Source organism: Homo sapiens, chromosome 9 (genome assembly GCF_000001405.40).
Source record: "Homo sapiens chromosome 9, GRCh38.p14 Primary Assembly".
NCBI lineage: Eukaryota > Metazoa > Chordata > Mammalia > Primates > Hominidae > Homo > Homo sapiens.
Window position 1 is genome coordinate 129,094,794 of NC_000009.12, and position 20,082 is coordinate 129,114,875.

Genomic DNA, 20,082 nt, shown 5'->3' on the forward strand with positions numbered 1-20,082 from the left:
TTCACCAACACAATTCCCCTTTATTGATGACCTTCCACATTAATATCATACAGCAGGGCGGGGGCAGGAACCAAGCTGAGTGGAACCAGAGGCGGCTCGCTAGCAATGTTATCCACAGGAGCACAGCCGCAACGGAGGTGAAACCTCACACCCTGGCCCCTCGGCCCCAGACAATCCTGTCTCCAGGTCCTGGGAGTTTGGGAAGCAGGGTACAGATGGTGGCCTGGTCATGGAGTTGGCAGGGAGTGGCCGGGGCTGAGCTGGTGAGACAAAGAGCTCTTGCCAGTCTCCTGCTCTGGAGGGCTGGTTCCCTTCCCCAGAGGAGGCACCGGTGGAGGACGTGCCAGGGGCCCGGGCCTAACGTCCTGCTCAGCCTCTGCACTCAGCCCCAGGTCGGGCCCTGGCAGGTGCTGGGATGACCCACGGAAGGCACTTGGCTGGGGCCTGCAGGCCCCCTGGAGGATGCGGTCCGTGGCTCAGTAGATTTGGGGGGACCAGGGAAGAGGGAACCAAGGAAGAGGGAACCAAGGAGCTGAGCCCTGGTGGGTGGCCCATCCCAGGGTGGGCTTGGCTGTGGCATTGGCAGGCCTGAGTCCTAGGGGCTCAGAGCTTGGCCCGGGGGTGGCTCTGCAGCAGGGCACGCATGTCCAGGAGCGCCTTCTCCAGGTAATGCGCCAGGCGGGCGGCGTTGGTCTCCGCGCAGCTGTTGTAGGCCGACAGGGAGAAGTTGATGTGGGCCTCCATGGGGTTATAGCAGACACCGTAGCCGTCGGGGACCACGGGCCCGAAGAACATGACACAGTCTGTCTTGGCAGGGACCTGGGGACGGCAGGATGAAAGCTCTCAGCTCCCCTACCTTGACGCCCCCAGCACTTCCCAGGCTGCCTGTGCTTCCGCCAAGACTGCAGGCCCCTTGTGGGCAGGGATCATGGTCTGTCCCCTGCTATATCCCAGCAACCACTACAGGCTGGCACGAATCAAATGTTCCTTTATACCTGACCAGTGAGTCAGCGAAGCTGATTCTCCCATGAGGAGCACTGACCCCTTCTCAGCCTGCCTGGGCTGCAGAGAGGCCCCTGCCCCCAGCTCCTCCTCTGGAACTCAGCTGTGTTGGCAATGGGTCAGTGGGGCCTGTGTAGGCCACATCAAACTACCAGTGGGTTCTCTGCCTCCAGCCCCCGGGGCACCTGGGGCAGTGGCCCACCTGGCTGGTGGAGAGGTGGAAGTGCATGGCGATGGCGTAGGAGGTGTCCATGAAGATGTCGGGCATGCTCACCAGGTCCTCGATGGCCTGCAGCTTCAGGCCCAGCAGGTGTCGATCAAAGGCCTCCCCGCGGATGGCCTGTTGGGGTGGGAGAGCTGTCAGGAGCAGGGGCTGTGGACCCCCGGGGTATCCCTGCCCTCTTCAGCCTGTGGCAGCGCCACCCTTCGCAGGCACTGGCCACTCAAAACCACAAGACCAGAGTATTCTGGCCAGAGAGAGCCTTCGTTTCACAGATGGGGAAACCAAGGCTCAGGGAGGGGCGGGGATTTGCCCAGGGAGGCAGGAAAGTGCAGGGTTGTAGGGCAGGGCCCTGGAGCTGGGTGACCTAGCCCCATCCTGGCTGCAGGGCCTTGGCAGGTTGCTTAGGTTCTGGAACTGTAGTGTCTTCATCTGTAAAGAGGGGTGAGTCCTACACTCCCCTCGCAGGGTGGCGGTGAGCTCTAAATGGACGTGTGCATGTAGCACGGTCAGAGCCTGGACACACAGGTGCTCAGAGACAGAGCCAGGACACGCATCCAGACAGCCACCTCCCTGACTGCAGCCCAAGCTGCTGGAGGGCAGGAAACTGGCTGTCTGCTGGACCATGTATACCTAGCGTCAGGGAGAGATACCTAGCATCAGGGAGAGAGTGTGACCCAACATCTAGGGCCCAGGCCAGCCCTGGAACCTGGAACCAAGGCAGTTACTGGGCCCAGGCTGGGTTTCTCCAACTTTAAAATGGGGATATTTGGCCGGGCACGGTGGCTCACGCCTATAATCCCAGCACTTTGGGAGCCTGAGGTGGGTGGATCACCTGAGGTCAGGAGTTTGAGACCAGCCTGTCAACATGGTGAAACCCTGTTTCTACTAAAAATGGAAAAATTAGCCAGGTGTGGTGGTGGGTGCCTGTAATCCCAGCTACTTGGGAGGCTGAGGCAGGAGAATTGCTTGAACCTGGGAGGCGGAGGTTGCAGTGAGCCTAAATCACACCACTGCACTCCAGCCTGGGCGACAGAGCAAGACTCCATCTCAAAAAAAAAAAAAAAGAAAAAGTTGGGGGCTATTCAGCCTGGCTCCAGGTGCTCCCAGGTTGGGGGAGATGTGGTCCTAGCAAAGGGTTGGCAGCCATTGGCTGCAGGGACGGACAGTCAGAGGGACAGACAGATGGCTGACACTAAGGGACAAGTGAGTAGGCACAAGCGGGCTCACTTACCCGGTCGGTGTAGCCTCGGTGGGCCTGCACGGCCTTCCGCAGCAGCTCCACCTTCTGGTGCTCCTAGAGTGGTGAGGGTCAGAGGGAGCTGAAGCACTGTCCCTTCTCTTCTGGCCCACCTCAGTAGCCCACCCCCACCCAGCACTAGATTCTGAGCTCTTTAAGAGGAAATATTGGGGCTGGGAGCGGTGGCTCACGCCTGTAATCCCAGCACTTTGGGAGGCCGAGGCAGGTGGATCCCTTGAGGTCAGGAGTTTGAGACCAGCCTGGCCAACATGGTGAAATCCCGTTTCTACTAAAAATACAAAAATTAGCCGGGCATGGTGGCAGGCACCTGTAGTCCCAGCTACTTGGGAGGCTGAGGCAGGAGGATTGCTTGAACCCGGGAGGTGGAGGTTGCAGTGAGTCGAGATCACACCACTGCACTCCAGCCTGGGCAACAGAGTGAGACTCTTTCTAAAAAAAAACAAGAAAAAAAAAGAGCGAGTATTGCAACTACCAACTCCTTGGTCCTCAGCCAGGGCCTGACATAGGGCAGTTGCTTACTGCCAATGAATAAATGAATGAACAAATGAATGACTCCCTTTTCCTCTTTGGTCCCCAGGAAGCTCAGAGCTAGATTCACGGCTCCAGCTTCTGTTAGATTCCCCGTGCCCACCATGGGGCTGGAATCCTGTAGGTGCTCAATTATTGTGTGTTGACTGAGTGAGCAGGAGGGAGGGGCTCAGGCCCAGCTCACCCACCCTCGCCCCAGACCTCTCACCGTGACGCTGGAGTCATCCATGGCCTTGACAAAGGTGAGTGAGTCCATGGAAGCCGAGCGGATGGTGTCGGTGCGGCCCAGGTGAAACATGCGCAGGGAGGCACTTTCATAGGTGGCACATGCCTGTCCGTAGATCCTGGTGGGAAATGGGGCTAAGCACGCCCCTTGGAGGCGGGCACCCCCTCCCCTGCCCCCAGGTCTCCTCCCTCCTCCATGGGTGGGCCACAGAGGCGCACCTGTAGTAGGCCAGCTGCAAAGCCATCTGGATGAAGGCATCTGGGCTTAGCTTCTCCGACTTGGGGAAGTCTTTTCCAAAATGGTGGAACACCATCACGGTGATATCCAGGTCCTGGATCATGCTGGGGGTGTGGGAAGAGCAGGTGAGGAGCAGGCCCCGGCAGCCCCTGCCAACCCCACGGAGGGTCTGGGTGTCATGACAGAGCTGGCACAGGAGCCTCTCAAGCTCAAGGGCCTGGCCTCACCCATCCAGCACAGGGATGGCGGGGGCAGGCACTTACATGCTGAGGTTCTGCTTGGCCTTCTCGATGTCGCTCTTGATCTCGGGGGTGATGTTGAACCGCAGCTTCTTGGGCATGGGCAGGGGCACCAGGGGAGACCGCACAAGCTCGGGTTTCTTCCTGCACAGTAAACGGGGCCTCAGGCTCATGCTGGTGCCTCTAGAGCCTGGGTCCATTCTGGGACCAGGGTGGGGAGGATGGGTACCTGAAGCTGGAGGGGGCCAGCCCAGGGAGGTGTGAGTTTGTTCTGAAAACCACCCTCACTTCAGCTTTTTTTTCTTTTTTCTTTTTTTTTTTTTTTTAGATGGAGTCTTGCTCTGTTGCCCAGGCTGGAGTGCAGTGATGTGATCTCAGCTCACTGCAACCTTGGCCTCCCTGGTTCAAGCGATTCTCCTGCCTCAGCCTCCTGAGTAGCTGGGATTACAGATGCCCGCCACCTTGGCTAATTTTTTTCTTTTTCTTTTGAGACAGAGTCTTGCTCTGTCACCCAGGCTGGAGCAATGGAACGATCTCGGCTCACTGCAACCTCCACCTCCTGGGTTCAAGTGATTCTTGTGCCTTAGCCTCTTGAGTAGCTGGGATTACAGGCACCCACCACCACGCGTGGCTAACTTTTTTTTTTTTTTTTTTGAAACAGAGTCTCATTCTGTCACCCAGGCTAGAGTGCAATGGTGTGATCTCAGCTCACTGCAACCTCTGCCTCCCGGGTTCAAGCGATTCTCCTGCCTCAGCCTCCCAAGTAGCTGGGATTACAGGCACCCGCCATCATGCCTGGCTAATTTTTGTAGAGACAGGGTTTCACCATGTTGGCCAGGCTGGTCTTGAACTCCTGACCTCAGGTGATCCGCCTCCCAAAGTGCTGGGATTATAGGCATGAGCCACTGCACCTGGCCTAATTTTTTTTTTTTTTTTTTGAGACAGAGTCTTGCTCTGTCACCCAGGCTGGAGTGCAGTGGCACAGTCTCCGCTCAACGCAACCTCTGCCTCCTGGGTTCAAGCAATTCTCCTGCCTCAGCCTCCTGAGTAACTGGGATTATAGGCATGTGATACCACACCTGGGTAATTTTTTTTTTTTTTGTATTTTTAGTAGAGATGGCATTTCACCATGTTGGCCAGGCTGATCTCAAACTCCTGACCTCAATTGATCCTCCCACCTCAGCCTCCCAAAGTGTCAGGATTACAGGCGTGAGCCACCATATCTGGCTGGCTTCCTTGGAAAAAAACAGATTCCCAGGCACAAAGGAGAGTGATATTTCTCTATAAGCTGGTCTATCACCTGTGTGTCACCTGTCACTAGAAGCTGGGGAACTAGGCGAGAGATGTGACTGTACTCACGTGTACTCGATGACATAGTCCAGAAGGGTGACAATAGGGGGCCCCTCCGCTGCAGCATGCTCGTACACAAGCCCACAGGAGCCATCTTCTGCCACGATGAACTGTGGAAGGGAAGGGAGACCCCGGTCAGCCCCAGGGCCCTGGGGGGTGGCCCCTCACCCAACCACTCTTTGGTTGAGGCAAGGGCCTCTCTGAAGCCATCTCAAGGGGCTATGATGACTTATTACTGTTATTAACAATAGCTGACACTCACCAGGTGCCCTGGTGTGCTAAGCACATCCCACGCTCAGCGTGCCTGACTGAGTCCTTCAAACTACTCTACCGGTGAGGTTGACCATCACCCCATTTTACAGGTGTGGAGAGGGACTGTTGTGCCAGGATTGCACTGGTGACCCCGGATCCCAGGTTCTCTGTGAGGTGCTGAGGGGGTGTGCTGGGGGTGACAGCGGTTTCCAGGCCAGAGGCAGGACTGGTGATGACAGGCTGGCTGCCTGGTAATTACGGCAGCGTCCAGCCTGCTGGCTTCCTGCCTGCTTTACAAGCTAGGAGGCTGGGGACGCAGGGCCGGGGACGGGCAGGAAGTCCCGAGGCTGCAGAGGTCCTGTTCAGGTGTGTGTGAGTGGGCGAAGCCCTGCCGGGCCTCACCTGCAGCGTCTTGTCGAACCAGCGGTTGCCGCTGTTGAGCCTGCTGCCGCCCCCATGCAGCATCTGGCCTGCCACGTGGCTGCGGTACACGTCTTCTGAGACCCTGGGCATGGTTGCATCTAGGCACACGGTGAAGATGCTCTTCTGGATGGAGCGCACGGAATCCCGGTTCACCTTGTCTGCAGGTGGCATGGGGCGGGGAGACGCAAAATGGGGTCTCATGGTGTGGGAGAGATGGACCAGCCCCTCCGCAGCCTCCTGCCCTGGGCTCTTCTGACCCATTTGTACCTCTCTGGGATGAGGAGACCCCCCACCTCGCCGGCCCTCCAGGGCATTCACCAAGTGCAGGGTGTGGGTTCAGAGCTTCGAACTCAACAGGACCCTGCAGGCCCACAGCACTCCTCGAGGCAGGGCCCAACACCTGGCCCACTTTAGACACAGGAAACCGAAGCCCAGGGGTCACATGGGAGCTGGTGTGGCAGCCGGGGAACCCACACAGGTGGTCTGACTTTGGGGTCAATGCCCCTGAGCAAGACATGCTTTGGAGGACTGCTGGTACTTGGGGGCACAGGGGGTGTGGAGGCGGGTGGGCTTCTCAGCCAGAGGACTTGGACTCTAATCCTAACTTGCTATTTAGCTGAGAGAAACTACCCTAACCATGAGGTGTCCTCAACTAGGACATGGGGCCCACATTGCCTGCTCCACGTTGAGAGGATGCAGCGGGAAACATGTCTGCCCATGGCTGTGCGGGGCCCAGCATGCCGGGGGAATGTTGGGAAAAGGACTTGTGGGGTGCCTGTATAAACTGGCCATAAAAATAGGGGACAATAAGTTGTGGAAAGCCAGAAGAGGCCACGGAGGAGGAAAGCCTACTAATTGCCATCATGTTCCCATGCTCAGAGCGAGACCCGCTCTCCTATCTGTAAACACTGTGTTCAAGGAGAAAGACACTCCTTTGAAACACTGGGAAGTGGACAGATGTGCAGGCTCCTAGTTAAGCCCGCTCCCACCAGCTACTCTCCGATAAGTTAAAGACACGCTGTTTGAGCACAAAGGAGATTCATTTAAACTGCTATTGCTATAGATTATGCCTCCTATGAGGCACTGCCTCCCTTTCACTGTTTCGCCCTGAACATGTGCTTCTTAGAGCTAAGTGACTGCACTCAATAGTGTGGAGACCAGAACTCTGCGCCTTTTGCAGCCTCCATTTTGCAACTGGCCCCTGGCTCCCACCTTCATGAACTCTTAACCTGTCTCTTCTCATTCCTTTGTTGCCAGCAGACTTCGGGTACCCTACAGGTGGAGTTGAGGCTGGTCCCCAACAGGGGAAGAGGCCTGGGTGTGCAGCCCCAGCACGGCCCCCAAGAGGCACCTTTGATGAGGGTGTTGTATGCCTTGGCCCAGGAGTTGCGGTGGTTGGAGGTGAGGATGCCCACAGGCTCCTTGTTGGTCTGTAGGGATGAGTTCCAGATCTTCTCCAGCTGCACAAAGATCTGATCCGCAGTGAGGGGTGTCCCGTCACTGTGGTACACATCCAGCTCAAAAAACTGTTGGGGCACAGGCAGGTAAGAGGAGGGAGCTGAGTGGGGACCTCAGGCTGAGAGCAGCCACCTCCCCACACCTGCCTCCTCCTGGCCTTGGCCTTGGAGGGGATGGAGTCAGGCCAAGGGTGAGAGGGGGAGGAGGTCCTTGGATCACCCTTCTGGGCTGGGCAGGCCCACGGCCCCTCCTGGCCTCCCTGGGCCCCCAATGGAGAAGCCAGGGGCGCCCATTCCTGGGGCACGTGGGCACGTGTGCTGGGGAACCCCAGTGGGGAAGCCGACTGCGGCCGTCCGGCTGTACTCCTGCAGCAGGGCCGGGGCTTGTAGGTGTGGGTGGGGGCCACCCACCTGGTAGTTGTGTACCACGGTGATGTGCGTGGGAGGCTTCTTGGTCTTGCTGAAGTTGCTGACTGTGTCCTGCTTGGGGCCCGGCACTCGGCAGGAGGACAAGATCTGATAGTACTGGTTCATGCACAGTGGCTTCCCCCCCAGGTACTCCACGGGCAGGGTCTCGCTATGGGGTAGAGGGGCAGTGAGGCCACCACTGGGCAAGTGAATGGGGAGGAGGGCAGGGTAGACAGGGACCTGCTAGGTACTGCTGGGGGCTCACACAGTGTCCCTGCTCCCACTCCCAGATGAGCAGGACACCTCAGGGCTGTGCTGTGGGCAGGGGGCTCGCTTTCTGCCCCAGATGGGCCCTGTTCAGAAGTCATCTAGAAACTCCCTCCTTTCCCCTCTCTGGGCTTCAGTTTGTCACAGGGGAGATGAAGCAGCGAATAAAACTCTGGGGTCCTCTTTAGTTGGGATGGGACAGGGTCACCCACCAAGAGGAGATTCCAGCAGCTGGAGCAGGGCCCAGGGCCCAAGCTGGCATGCCGGGCCAGGGCTGGGGTCAGAGGTGGCTGTGGTAATTAAGCAGGCCTGGGCAGGTGTGGGGCTGGGCAGGGGTGGGGATGCTCACTTGTCAATCATGACCTTGAAATCCAACACACCCTCAATGAGTTTGGCAGCAAATCTGGAAAGATTGATTAGAGATTAGAAGCTGCGTGGACACCCTGAGGGAGGCCCCGGGCTAGGGACACCTGCTTGGGGAGCGGGAGGTCTAGTCTTCCAGCCTCTCTCACCGCTTCCAGAAAGCCTGGGAGCGCAAGGGAGGGGCCTGCGAGTCCCAGCTTGCCAGCCTGTGTGTGCTTCTTCATAACCTCTAGAGGGAGCATGGTCGGGAGGGCTCGGGGAAGTGCTGGTGGCCAAGGGCCTAGTAGGACTTGGGTGCTGGCCCCCTGCAGCTGGAGTGTGGCTTGGTTAGGGGTCAGTGGGCTGGGTCTACCCACAAAGGGCCTGAGCTCCTGAACCTCAGCCTAGAATCTGGAGGGGGTGTCATCTGCTCTGAAGCATCGGTTCTGGAGGCCCCGGGCCCCTGGGGTGGTGTGATGGGAGAGCAGTGGCTCCGGTGTTCCCTCCACTAGGTCCCTTCCCCACTCTGGGCCTCTGTGTCCCCCAGGCCGCCTTCCTCCCAGGGCTGTCTGGCCCATGGCAACCACCCTCAATGCTTGGGGCCGCCCCTGGATCCCACCATGGGGACCAGTGGCTGGAGTTCCTGGGCCTGAACCCCGGCCCTTCCCAGGGTACCCTGGTCCCTTTAAGAGAAGCAGGTGGTGGCAGCCAGTGGCTGGTCCTTGGGCAGGAGATCCTTGTCACTGGTATTTTTATCTCTGGTAGGACTGGAATAGGGGCTGGGGCAGGTGACCTGGCTGAATGTGGAAAAGAGGACTGTGTACAGAGGTCACCCCTGTGGCTAGCTGAGAAGAGTGGAAAGGAGAGGTGAAGTGCTAAAACTGGGGTCGGGGAGAAGCCTCAGGTATGGAGGAGGATGGGGCCTCTGCGAAGATGTGGTGGTTAACAGCCATGAGGCTTTAGAGCTGGAGAGACCCTGCTTCCTGAATGGGGTCTTGGGCAGCTCCCTTCCCTGCTCCGAGCCTCAATTTCCCCATTTGTAAAATAGGGAGGATGCTCCCTACTTCATAAGGCTGCTTGTGGGGCAGAAAGATAAACAGGGTCGGGGCCCCTCCAAGCGGCTGGGCGAAGTGAACTCGAGGGGCCCGGCTGCCTCCTGGCCCCCAAACCCCAGCCACTCACCGGAGCTGACCCTGCAGGTCCACGAAGTCCTGCTTGGGTAGCATCACGCCTGGGCTCGAGTAGATGACCACAGGCTGGCGGTACTGGAGGTAGGCGGTCTTGAGCCACCACTCAGACAGCTGGGAAAAGTGCCAGAGCCTGTCAGGAGGGGTGCATGGGCCCTGGTGCCCCCTGTTCCCCAGGGCTAGGGGACCTGGCTGGCCCCCATGCCCTCTACCTGGCTATGGAGATTCTCAAAGTAAATGCCTAGATCCAGAACCCACCCTCCCTGCCCCACAACTTAAACCCACCAGCCTCTTCCCTTTAGCCCGAGTGATCAGTATTAGCCAGATCAATCCGATGCTGCTGCTAAGAAAGGATGTGAAAGAAAGATCAGGAGGAAACCCGGGGTGTGGGGAGGGGCAGCAAGGTGAACGAATTCTTTTTTTTTTTTTTGAGACAGGGTCTCGCTGTGTCATGCAGGCTGGAGTGCAGTGGCGCAATCTCGGCTCACTGCAAGCTCCGCCTCCTGGGTTCACGCCATTCTCCTGCCTCAGCCTCCTGAGTAAGTGGGACTACAGGCGCCAGCCACCACACCTGGCTATTTTTTTGTATTTTTAGTAGAGACGGGGTTTCACCGTGTTAGCCAGGATGGTCTCGATTTCCTGACCTCATGATCCGCCCGCCTTGGCCTCCCAAAGTGCTGGGATTACAGGCATGAGCCACTGTGCCCGGTCTTTTTTTTTTTTTTTGAGACGGAGTCTCGCTCTGTCCCCCACGCTGGAGTGCAGTGGCATGATCTCGGCTCACTGCAAGCTCCACCTCCTGGGTTCACGCCATTCTCCTGCCTCAGCCTCCTGAGTAGCTGGGACTACAGGCGCCCGCCACTGTGCCCGGCTAATTTTTTTTTTTGTAGTTTTAGTAGAGACGGGGTTTCACCGTGTTAGCCAGGATGGTCTCGATCTCCTGACCTCGTGATCCTCCCGCCTCGGCCTCCCAAAGTGCTGGGATTACAGGCGTGAGCCACCGCGCCCGGCAAGGTGAACAAATTCTCATCTTACACATTCTCTGTCAATGACTGTCATATGTTAAATTAAAATGTATGCCTGAATAGATAGAAAGGAAAAAAGGGAAGGGTCTACAAAAACAAAGTCCAATGAGTGACTTTTTTTTTGAGACAGGGTCTCACTGTCACCCAGGCTAAAGTGCCACGGTGCTATCTCAGCTCACTGCAACCTCCACCTCCTGCATTCAAGCGATTCTCTTGCCTCAGCCTCTTGAGTAGCTGGGACTATAGGTGCGCACCACCATGCCTGGCTCATTTTTGTATTTTTTGCTGCAGACAGGTTTTCACCATGTTGGCCAGGCTGGTCTTGAACTCCTGACCTCAAATGATCCACCTGCCTCAGCTTCCCAAAGTGCTGGGATTCCAGGCGTGAGCCACCGCGTCTGGCCCAATAAGTGAGTTTTTGACCATCCCCAGCAGAGAACTGTCCAAGGAGGCAGGAGACTGGGGTATCAGAGCAGCCTGAGGAACCTGTGGCCTCGGGGAGTAGATACCCACTTTGATCTCAAGGTCAGGGCAATCTTGAGGGGATGCTCCCTGCAAGGATGAATCCTTATGCTAGTGACAAGATGTGGGTGACACATCCTTACTCTCTGCCCTGACGGTCTGTCCTCTCTCTGGGGGGTGGGGGGTCTCTGGGCACCAGCCAGGGATGTGGTATTAAAGGCTCCATGTCTGGCGCTGCGCACACTCCCAGGTGACTGTCACCCTGTGTCCTCTATGCTGACTGCAACACCCACCCTTCCTGCACACAGCCAGTACAGCTTTCTCTGGCCTTCCACCCCCAGAGACCTGGGCCCACCTGCGCCCCCTCAACCCGTGGTGAACAGCAGCAGGATGCGCCTCTTCATCACACGCACTCCCCTGCAGCACTGGGCCACTAGCCTTTGGCAAGGGGTGAGGGGGAGGCAACTTGGCAAGGGGTGAGGGGGAGGCAACTTGTCCCCAAGTTGTACAACAGGTGACTGGTAGCCCCTAAGAACTGGGTCCCTGAGTCAGTCAGACCTTCCTGTGTGGCCGAGGGCTTCCTTGAGAGCTGCTGTGTGGCTCTGGGCTTTTGGGCCACCTCTCTGGGCCTTAGTTTTCCTCATCTGTAGATCAGTGAAGGGCAGACAGGAGCTTCCTTCCCTTGGGGAAACAGCCAGGGGCCTGTACTCCACTAGGGATCCCAGAGCCTCTGGCCAAAGCTTGGGAGACCAGAGGAGACCCCGCAGGTATGGGTACTCCCCCAGCGAGAATCTGCCAGGTGGTGGCGGAGACCCTTCGGTGGCCCCGTGAGTGGAAGGAGGGGTGCCCCCACCCCTTTAACCAGGAGCTTCTGTTTGAAGGAGTCCCAGGCTAAATGAAGTCGGAAAACCACCAGCCCCCAGACGCTCTAAGGACCTTTCGGGGGAAGCATCTTGGTTCTGGAGTCCAAAGTCCTGACCTGACGCGTCTCAGCAAATGTTGACAACTCCCACCTCCTGTGTGCAGCCCCACAGCCTCCGCCAAGCCCCAGGGCTAGAGCTCTACCTCCCCTCCCCATGGCACCCCCTATAACACAGCATTTCCCAGGGCCGGACCCGCTCTGGCTCTCCCACAGGTAGCTTCTCTCTCAGGCAACCCCGACTTGGCAAATTCCACCCGTGCCCCCACCTCATTGGCAAGTGACACTGGCACTGCCTCCAAAACAGTCCTGGACCTAACGACTCTCCCTCTCTCCCATCCGGTGTCAGACCCAGGCTGCCACAGCTCCTTGGGGGTGATGTCACCCCTCCCCCTCGCCTCTGGCTTCCACTCTGCCTCCCTCCCAGCAGCTGGGTCACCTTTTTTTTTTCCCAAGACAGAGTCTTGCTCTGTCGCCCAGGCTGGAGTGCAGTGGCACAATCTTGGCTCACTGCAACCTCCACCTGCCAGGTTCAAGCAATTCTCCTGCCTCAGCCTCCCCAGTATCTGGGATTACAGGTGCGTGCCACTACGCCTGGCTAATTTTTGTATTTTTAGTAGAGACAGGGTTTCATCATGTTGGCCAGGCTGGTCCCGAACTCCTGACCTTGTGATCTGCCCGCCTTGGACTCCCAAAGTGCTGGGATTATAGGTGTGAGTCACTGCATCCAGCTGCCACTTTTTAAATCTGTGTATTGAAGTATGAGATGCAAATAGAAAAGCACACCAAACATTGGTGTAGACATATTTGCCAAACTGGGTACACCTGTGTCATAGATCAGATACAGAACCTGGGCGATCGGTCACTGAGTGACACATATCCCCTGCCTGAGGCTGTCCCACCAAGCACAAGGGCATCTTCTATCTGGTTGTACCTGCCGTGCACCCCACTCCTGCCTCTGTCCTGGAACATGAAACCTTGTCCACAACCTGTATCCTGTTCATTACCTTTCTCTCCTCCCTACTTGAATGTTAGCTCCAAGGAGCTGGTGACTGTGTCCTTCTTGATCACCCAGCACCCTGCCAAGTGCCAGACACAGAGTATGTGCTCACGAAACTCTGGGCAGCAAACGAACGGCCGTGCCAGAGCAGTGGGCACTGGAGAACTGTGCATGTGCAGCCAGCAGCAGGTCACAGTGAGGATGCCCTCACTCACCCAGTTCTCCGTCTTCCTGGCCCGACGCTCCAGCCCCTTCTGCAGGCGCTCCCCTACACCTCCTGAGGCCTGAAACTCATCCACCAGCTGCTTGGTGTGGGCCCACTCCTCCTCACTCACGATGGGCTGCAGCGCCTTCAGGTAGTGGTCCAGGGACTGCTGGAGAGGGGGCACGGGCAGCCGTGGCAGTGCATCCTGGTGTGCCTTGAAGCGGCTGGAAGCCTTCATCAAGGAGAAGGGCTTCAGGAAGCCCAGAGGCTTCACCTGCAGGTAGCAGAACATCCTGTTCATTCCCTCCCCGGCTCTGGAGCCCTGGCAGCCCCAAAGCTGTAGTCCTGGGCACTTAAGTGCCCATCCCTGGGGGCAGAGACGGCCTCTTGGGTGGGGCTGGCCCTGGCCTCCCAGCCCTAGAGCTCTAGGTGTCCCCGCCTCTCTGGGGCCTGGAGATGCAGGTAGGGATGGGGGAGGGTGGGGTGTGGCCATGGTTCTTAGCAAGGCTCAGGGGAACCAAGTCAGGATGAACGGCACCTTTGGGGTGGCAGAGGTGAGGGGGACCGCCCACCTGTTGGGTTGCACAGGCCCCTCCTTTCTCACCCTGGAAGAGGAGCCAGCCAGCAGAGTGGTGACTGTCCCTCTTGGAGGTCCCCACGTCCTTTTCTCCCACCCTTTCCAGGTTGAGAAACAGAAGGGAAGAAGAGAGAATCACAGAGAGCCAGACAATGGCAGCACCTTCGGGTGAGGGGCCTTGGGCTTCCTCCTGCCTTTGAGATGGGGCAGGGGTGGGGTGAGGGCAGTGCTGTGGCGAGAGAGCCGGGTGGCCTGGCATGGAGGGTGAGAGGCGGCAGAGAGAGAAAGAGAAAGTCCAGGAGGCCCTGGAGTGGGCAGAGACAGGAGGGCCCGAGGCTGCTCTTGCAGTGGGCAGGCGAGTGGCAGGAGCTCTGTTCCATACCTTCTCTCTCTGCTGCCCGTCCTCCTCCATGGCAGGACTGAGGTTCTGGGCCCTGTCTGTCTGCCTTGGCTGGATCTCTAAGCCTAACTGTGCTACAAAGTGAGTGAGCAGAACCTAGCCAGAGGCAGCCACTTGCCTGGGCTGGAAAGAGAAGACAAGAGCCAAGATTCAGCGGGAGGCAGGTGGCAGTGGCGATGGCTGTGGTGGAATCGGGGGTTGTGGCAGTGGCAGGGGAAGCTCCTGGACTCTAGAAGCTGCTCCACCCTCCCGAGCTCCCAGAAGTAGAGGAATGGGGAGCAGGTGAGAGGGCTAGTGGGGGGGCATTCCAGTAGAAGGGAACCTGGAAAGTTCTTTCCTTTCTTCTCTGCATGGGCTCAGTGCCAGGGAGTCAGGACAAAAGGTAATAAAAAATCCACCTGTCAGAATCTGCGAAGATCGTTTTGATGAGGGAAAACTTGGCTGGAGGACAGAGACTGCCTGGCCGCTGAGGTTACACCACAGCCCTGGGATCGGTCCTGAAATTAGGGTTGGTGCAAGGGAGCAGACACCAGGAAAAGGCCATCAGTGGATGGGACAGCCAGAAGCCCTGCCTATTTCCTGTTTCTCTCCAGGACTCCTGGGACCCATCTGAGCCATCCCTCTACGAACACTCATTTTTTCCTGAGCTGTGGCTCATTCAGCTAGGGTCCAAGAGCGGAGGACTTTTGGTATGAAAAATAAACCAAAGGACACTGGGATTGGGCTGGATTTGAATGAGCAGGTCCAGGGGACTCTGGGCAAGTCCCTCCTTGCCTCAGTTTCCCTGCAGGAAGGTAACCAGTCCAGTCGGATGGTCCTGGAGGATGATCTAGAGGCTGTTTGTGGGATGGATGCAGCTTGGGAGACAGTGACAAGGGTGCGGTGGAGGCTCAGGGTGTTGCAACACCTAAAAGAGCCTCTAGGCCTGAGCCTGGATGCACCCTCCGCCCTCTGGCCCCGTAGTGTGTGTCTGAGACAGAGTGAGACACCAGCAACATATGCTTGGATCAGGGACGGAAGGGACTGAAATTAGGCTAGCATCCGGGCTGCTCACCGGGGAGGACTGAGGGGTAGATATAGCCAGGGTGGGGAAGGGGGCTAGAGGGGAGGATATAGCCAGGGTGGGGAAGGGGGCTGGAGGGAAGGATACAGCCAGGGTGGGGAAGGGGGCTGGAGGGGAGGGAGACCATGGGGCTGCCACCTGCCAGTTCTGAGGCCTTTCTAGCTTGATGCCTCCGCGTGTTTCTCTGGCCACACACAATTCCCCAGGGACCGTCTGATAAACCAAAGGAGTGTGACCAACTGGACAGGGTCGGAGGAGTGGCTCTGGCCTAAGCGTGCGACGGGTGTGTCAATCGGAGAATAACTGGGAGAGTGAGCTAGGGTCTGGATGCTCCTGGTCTCTCTCCCCTACCGGCCTGTCTCTGGGTCTAAGGGTGGGGGTGCTAACTGAAGCCGGGGTCCCCCTTGTCTTTCCTGGGTCGTTGGAACTGAATGCTCCAGGACGTGGGTTTAATCCCGCTTCTGACCTTGCGCCCCAATCTCCTGCTCTGCCAAACCTGGGACGCCCGCCTGACCCCACCCCATCAGCTGGAGGCCGGGTCGAACAGCGGCCGCAGGACGCGGTCTCCGTTCCCGGACGCAACCGCACGGCCCGCCCAGGCCGTCCAGGGCCCTCAGGCCCGGGATCCGCCGCACTCACCACGGTCCTGGCAGCGAAGGCTAACATCTTCGCTGCCCGTCCGCGGACACGCAGTCCGCTCCGCCCCACACACCGGGCAAAGTCCGCGCCGCCGCCGCCGCGGCTGGGGTCGGTGGGTCCTTGCTAGAGCCTTCGGGCCAAGGTCGCTGAGTTACAGCCGCCAGCCGGTAGAGGCAGCCCCGCGCCCACCCTCTGGGCCGAGCGGGCTGCGGGAAGGCACCCGGGGAGGAGGACTCGCGAGGCGGGGCCTGGGCCGGTAGCGGGCCCCGGGCGGGCAACGGTGCCCGGGAGGTTGGCTGTGGGGCGGGGACGGGGCATCGATGGGGCGGAGTCTCCTTGAGGAGGGACAGGAGGGGCGGGGACGGAGGGGCGGGGCGTCGCCCGGTAGCGGGTCGCAGTAGGCTGGCTGCGAGTCGGGGGCGGGACCACGGCGGGCGGGGACAGAGGGGCAGGGCCGAGGGCGAGTCATTGAGACCTGTGGAGGAGGAAGGAGGAGGTCACCGTCCAGCTGTCTCTCCCCTGTCCCCACATGTCTTCTAAGCTGTTGGAGGTAGTGGTGTGCACCTTTCCAACTCCGTCTGGTGTCCTTGAGCCTAACTCTTAGAGTGATAGGAAAACACAACCATGTTGACCGGGGAATGTCCTCTAATATTCCTTGGGTTAGGGTCAGTACCACCCACAAAGATGACAGGTGGTACTCCGGGACAGGAGACTGTCCCGGAAAAACATGGCTGAGCACAACCCAAACTTGACGCCCCGCACAATCGTGGCAGTCGCGGCGCCCGACGTTCGGGCGGCCGTGAGCGGTCCTAGCGCTTGGCGGCCGTTGGCGCGCATGCGCCCCGCGCGCCCCGCACTGACATGGCCGTCGCCCGGTTCCGCGCGTCCGCCGCGCGCCGGCCGTTAATAGGCTTGCTCCCTGAGCGCCCCGCACCGACATGGCGGCCGTCTTCGCTGTGGTGACTTTAACTCTCGGTTTTCGGTTATAGCCGGCCGGCGCTCACTTGTCTTCAGGAAGCTCGGAGCCTTTGGTGGAGCCGGGGAGAGGAAGGGTGGGTGCAAGAGTGAAAGGCGAGAGGGGACTGCAAGCATCCGGGTCGGCTCCTGGCCGGAGCAAGATGGCTGAGGGCGAGCGGCAGCCGCCGCCAGGTAAGGCCGGCGGGGCCAGGCCGGGCCGGGGTCGGGTAGGGTGGGGGCGGTGCCAGGTGTGGGAGGCTCAGGAGGGCGAGAGTCATGACACGGAGGAACTGGAGGGGCAAAAGCTGAGGGGCCCCGAGGAGGGACTGAGTTGAATGGCCTTAGGGGAGAGGTGGGTGGTGGGGCGCCGCTGGGGAGGGAACCAGGGGCTGCAAAGGGGTGGTGATTGGGGCGCAACTCTGGGTTTTGTGGGAGTCCAGGCTGCCCGAATGCTGGGTGGGCAGCGCCGTGGTCATAAGGGGGCCTTTTGCATCTCTGGGCAGCGCGTGCTTAAGTAAGCTGCTGACTCGGTGGGGAAGCTGCCAGGGAGGGGGGCGAAAGTGATTCCGGAGGCTGCCGTCTTTATTAGTCGCTGCTTAGGGGATGGGGTGGTGCTCCGTGGGCCTGCGCCCGCCTCGCCTCCAGTTTCGGCCTCCGCGTCCTGCTCACCCCTCATCCTCCTACTCTCTGGTTCCAGTGCCTGAGAATTTATTGAGGGAAACTGCCCGTGGTGTCTAAATCCCTAATTTTAAAAGGCTGGTTGTGCAAGGAGGTTAGTCTCTCCGGCATCTCCTTCGGTAACTCTTATTTACCTTGTAGCCTCTTTTTAGTTCATCTTAAATAACTGGGATGGAGGTGCTACGGAAGGATCTTAGAGACCCTTTTTGTGCAGAAGGAGAAGGCTGTTTGCCGACCTACCTTGAACTAAGAAGGACTGGCCATAGATAACTTTTACATTCCCGACAGAGGCAAATAGGTTGGCCGACCAAACACAGCTAATGTTTTGAAAGCATTTGATATTCTTGCTATCCTGTCTCCAATGTTGGGGTCCCTGGGAAGGTCTCAGGAGGGAGAAATGTTGAAAATCAGAAAAGGCATCCCCTCCATGCCCCACAAAAGAGGTGAACAAAGAGCTGGGTTCCGTTTCTTAGGACATTCAAAACCAGACATTTATTTTGTACAAAACCTCTGGGTGTGTGCCCTTAGAACAAGGATGTCCAGGCCAGGCGCGGTGGCTCATGCCCGTAATCCCAGCACTTTGGGAGGCCGAGGCGGGCTGATCACCTGAGGTCGGGAGTTCGAGACCAGCCTGACCAACATGGAGAAACTCCGTCTCTTCTAAAAATACAAAATTAGCCGGGCGTGGTGACACACGCCCGTAATCCCAACTACTAGGGAGGATGAGGCAGGAGAATCGCTTGAACCTGGGAAGCAGAGGTTGCGGTGAGCTGAGATCGCGGCATTGCACTCCAGCCTGGACAACAAGAGTGAAACTCCGTCACCCCCCAAAAAAAAAACCGGGGTGTCCACTCTTTTGGCTTCTCTAAGCCACATTGGAAGCAGAATTGTCTTGGGTCACACATAAAATACACTAACACTAACGATGGCTGATGAGCTAAAAAAAAAGTCGCAAAAAAAAAAATCTCATAATGGTTTTGTGTTTCTTTTTTTTGAGACAGTGTCTCACTCTGTCCCCCAGGCTGAAGTGCAGTGGCATGGTCTCGGCTGACTGCACCCTCTGCCTCCCGGGTTCAAGCGATTCTCCTGCCTCAGCCTCCTGAGTAGCTGGGACTACAGGTGCGCCACCATGCCTGGCTAATTTTTGTATTTTTAATAGGGACAGGGTTTCACCATATTGGCCAGGCTGGTCTCGAACTCCTGACCTCGTGATCCTCCTGCCTCGGCCTTCCAAAGTGCTGGGATTACAGGCATGAGCCACCGTGCCTGGCCTATGTTTTAAGAAAGTTTACAAATTTGTGTCCGGCTACATTCAAAGCTGTCCTGGGCTGTGGGTTGAACAAGCTAGCCTTAGAAGTTCTGGTGATGACTCCGGGCACAGTGGCTCACACCTGTAATCCCAGCACTTTGGGAGGCCGACACAGGCGGATCACTTGAGGTCAGGAGTTCGAGACCAGCCATGGCCAACATGGCAAAACCCCGTCTGTATTCAAAATACAAAAATTAGCTGGGTGTGGTGGCACACGTCTGTAATCGCAGCTACTCGGGAGGCTGAGGCAGGAGAATCACTTGAACCCAGGAGGCGGAGGTTGCAGTGAGCCGAGATTGCTCCACTGCACTCCAGCCACTGCACCCCAGCCTGGGCGAGAGAGCTAGACTCCATCTCAAAAAAGAAAAAGTTCTGGTAAGGACATCAGGAGATAGGAGATATAAGGCAACCACTGTTATCAGTGAGATGAATGTGTCCCTGAAGATGAGTGGGGGTGGGGAGTGGGAGGAGAGAGAACCTGTGCCCTGAAAGAGAGCTGTGCTCAGGGAGGTTATCCGTGGCTGGAAACAGCCAGGTCCCTGGTTGTGGTCCTTTTTTGAAATTTGAAACAGAACTTTTGGGAACAGCTGGAAAGAACTTCTTCTTTTTAGTTTTTTTTTGAGACAGAGTTTCACTTTGTCTCCCAGGCCAGGGTGCAGTGGTGCAATCTCAGCTCACTGCAACCTCCGCCTCCTGAGTTCATGCGATTCTCGTGCCTCAGCCTCCCGAGTTGCTGAGGCGCCCACCACTGTGCCGGGCTAATTTTTTGTATTTTTAGTAGAGATGGGATTTCGCCGTGTGGGCCAGGCTGGTCTCGAACTCCTGGCCTCAAGTAATTCACCCGCCTTGGCCACCCAGAGTGCTGGGATTACAGGCGTGAGCCACCGCGCCCGGCGAGAAGTTCTTAATGTAATGATGAAAACTTTGGATTTTGGAGTCATACATATCTGGCTCTGCCTGGCAAGTCACAGCTCTGTGAGCCTCAGTTACTTCTCTCTTTTTTAAAATTTCTTTTTTTTTCCCTGAGAAAAAGCCTCAGTTATTTCTTAAAATAACTATAGGCTACTATACTTTCTTCATAGAATTGTAGTATGTGTTTTATAAGATGTGTGCAAAGCATGGGACATAGTAGGCGATCAGTAAATGCTGATTGCCCTTATCTTTTTCAAAGTTTCAAAGTTGTACAGGTTGAACATGTAGACGAGTTTCAAATGGCCAATGATAATGCTATATATTATAGTCTTTGTTGGGGGGCTTAGGAAGGAACATTTCTAAAATTCTGAATGTTGATTTTATACTGTGAGGTTGTTGGGAATCCACTGTCCCTTGGAACCTATGTCTCTATAACCTGAGGCTGGAGAGACTGTGGGCGTGACCTCATTTATCACCATCCTGCCTTTGAAGGCTTGTTTCTTTGATTTGGGATTGTGTGTTCTGGCAACTTGTGTG

General features: G+C 57.4%; 2 protein-coding genes across 23 annotated transcripts in view, besides 6 other annotated features; one reads left to right on the top strand and one right to left on the bottom strand.

Moving 5' to 3' along the window:
• On the bottom strand, positions 1-16,000 carry CRAT (carnitine O-acetyltransferase). Of its 12 annotated transcripts, none has more exons than XM_005251708.5 (16): positions 15,690-16,000; positions 14,386-14,484; positions 13,615-13,685; positions 13,021-13,284; positions 9,395-9,513; positions 8,220-8,273; positions 7,607-7,772; positions 7,090-7,264; positions 5,718-5,896; positions 5,073-5,173; positions 3,738-3,857; positions 3,456-3,578; positions 3,220-3,355; positions 2,457-2,519; positions 1,205-1,342; positions 1-819 (listed from the first exon to the last, which is right to left on the bottom strand). In XM_005251708.5, exons 4-16 carry the CDS (start codon positions 13,246-13,248, stop codon positions 604-606), a joined length of 1,818 nt encoding a protein of 605 aa, XP_005251765.1. In that variant the 5' UTR covers positions 13,249-13,284; positions 13,615-13,685; positions 14,386-14,484; positions 15,690-16,000; the 3' UTR covers positions 1-603. The 12 variants fall into 12 exon arrangements, with proteins under 12 accessions (XP_005251765.1, XP_047278727.1, NP_001333477.2 ...); XM_047422771.1 differs by lacking the exon at positions 13,615-13,685 and adding an exon at positions 14,106-14,110; NM_001346548.2 differs by lacking the exon at positions 13,615-13,685 and having other exon boundaries at positions 1,277-1,342.
• Positions 7,023-7,768: an enhancer, noted in NCBI's record as "H3K4me1 hESC enhancer chr9:131864095-131864840 (GRCh37/hg19 assembly coordinates)". NCBI's record gives its function as "activates a minimal SCP1, AML or CMV promoter by ChIP-STARR-seq in primed H9 embryonic stem cells {active_cell/tissue: H9 hESC(primed)}" and the evidence as "EXISTENCE:reporter gene assay evidence [ECO:0000049][PMID:30033119]".
• Positions 15,756-16,195: a silencer, noted in NCBI's record as "silent region_20360". NCBI's record gives its function as "represses an Ori minimal core promoter by ATAC-STARR-seq in GM12878 lymphoblastoid cells {active_cell/tissue: GM12878}" and the evidence as "EXISTENCE:reporter gene assay evidence [ECO:0000049][PMID:35858748]".
• Positions 16,157-20,082, top strand: part of PTPA (protein phosphatase 2 phosphatase activator) — a 37,997-nt gene continuing 34,071 nt past the window's right edge. For 6 of the 11 annotated variants that reach the window (XM_047423560.1, NM_021131.5, XM_011518838.3 and 3 more), the window contains exons 1-2: positions 16,157-16,239; positions 16,679-16,838. In XM_047423560.1, coding sequence (XP_047279516.1) covers positions 16,219-16,239; positions 16,679-16,838 — 181 coding nt within the window. In that variant the 5' untranslated portion in view covers positions 16,157-16,218. Of the gene's footprint in view, positions 16,240-16,621; positions 16,839-16,894; positions 16,999-20,082 lie in introns of those variants that run through there. The other 5 variants (NM_178001.3, NM_178000.3, NM_178003.3 and 2 more) reach the window with 2 other exon arrangements.
• Positions 16,606-16,885: an enhancer, noted in NCBI's record as "active region_29103". NCBI's record gives its function as "activates an Ori minimal core promoter by ATAC-STARR-seq in GM12878 lymphoblastoid cells {active_cell/tissue: GM12878}" and the evidence as "EXISTENCE:reporter gene assay evidence [ECO:0000049][PMID:35858748]".
• Positions 16,606-17,358: a biological region, named in NCBI's record as "H3K27ac hESC enhancer GRCh37_chr9:131873890-131874430".
• Positions 16,818-17,358: an enhancer, noted in NCBI's record as "H3K27ac hESC enhancer chr9:131873890-131874430 (GRCh37/hg19 assembly coordinates)". NCBI's record gives its function as "activates a minimal SCP1, AML or CMV promoter by ChIP-STARR-seq in primed H9 embryonic stem cells {active_cell/tissue: H9 hESC(primed)}" and the evidence as "EXISTENCE:reporter gene assay evidence [ECO:0000049][PMID:30033119]".
• Positions 16,886-16,935: a silencer, noted in NCBI's record as "silent region_20361". NCBI's record gives its function as "represses an Ori minimal core promoter by ATAC-STARR-seq in GM12878 lymphoblastoid cells {active_cell/tissue: GM12878}" and the evidence as "EXISTENCE:reporter gene assay evidence [ECO:0000049][PMID:35858748]".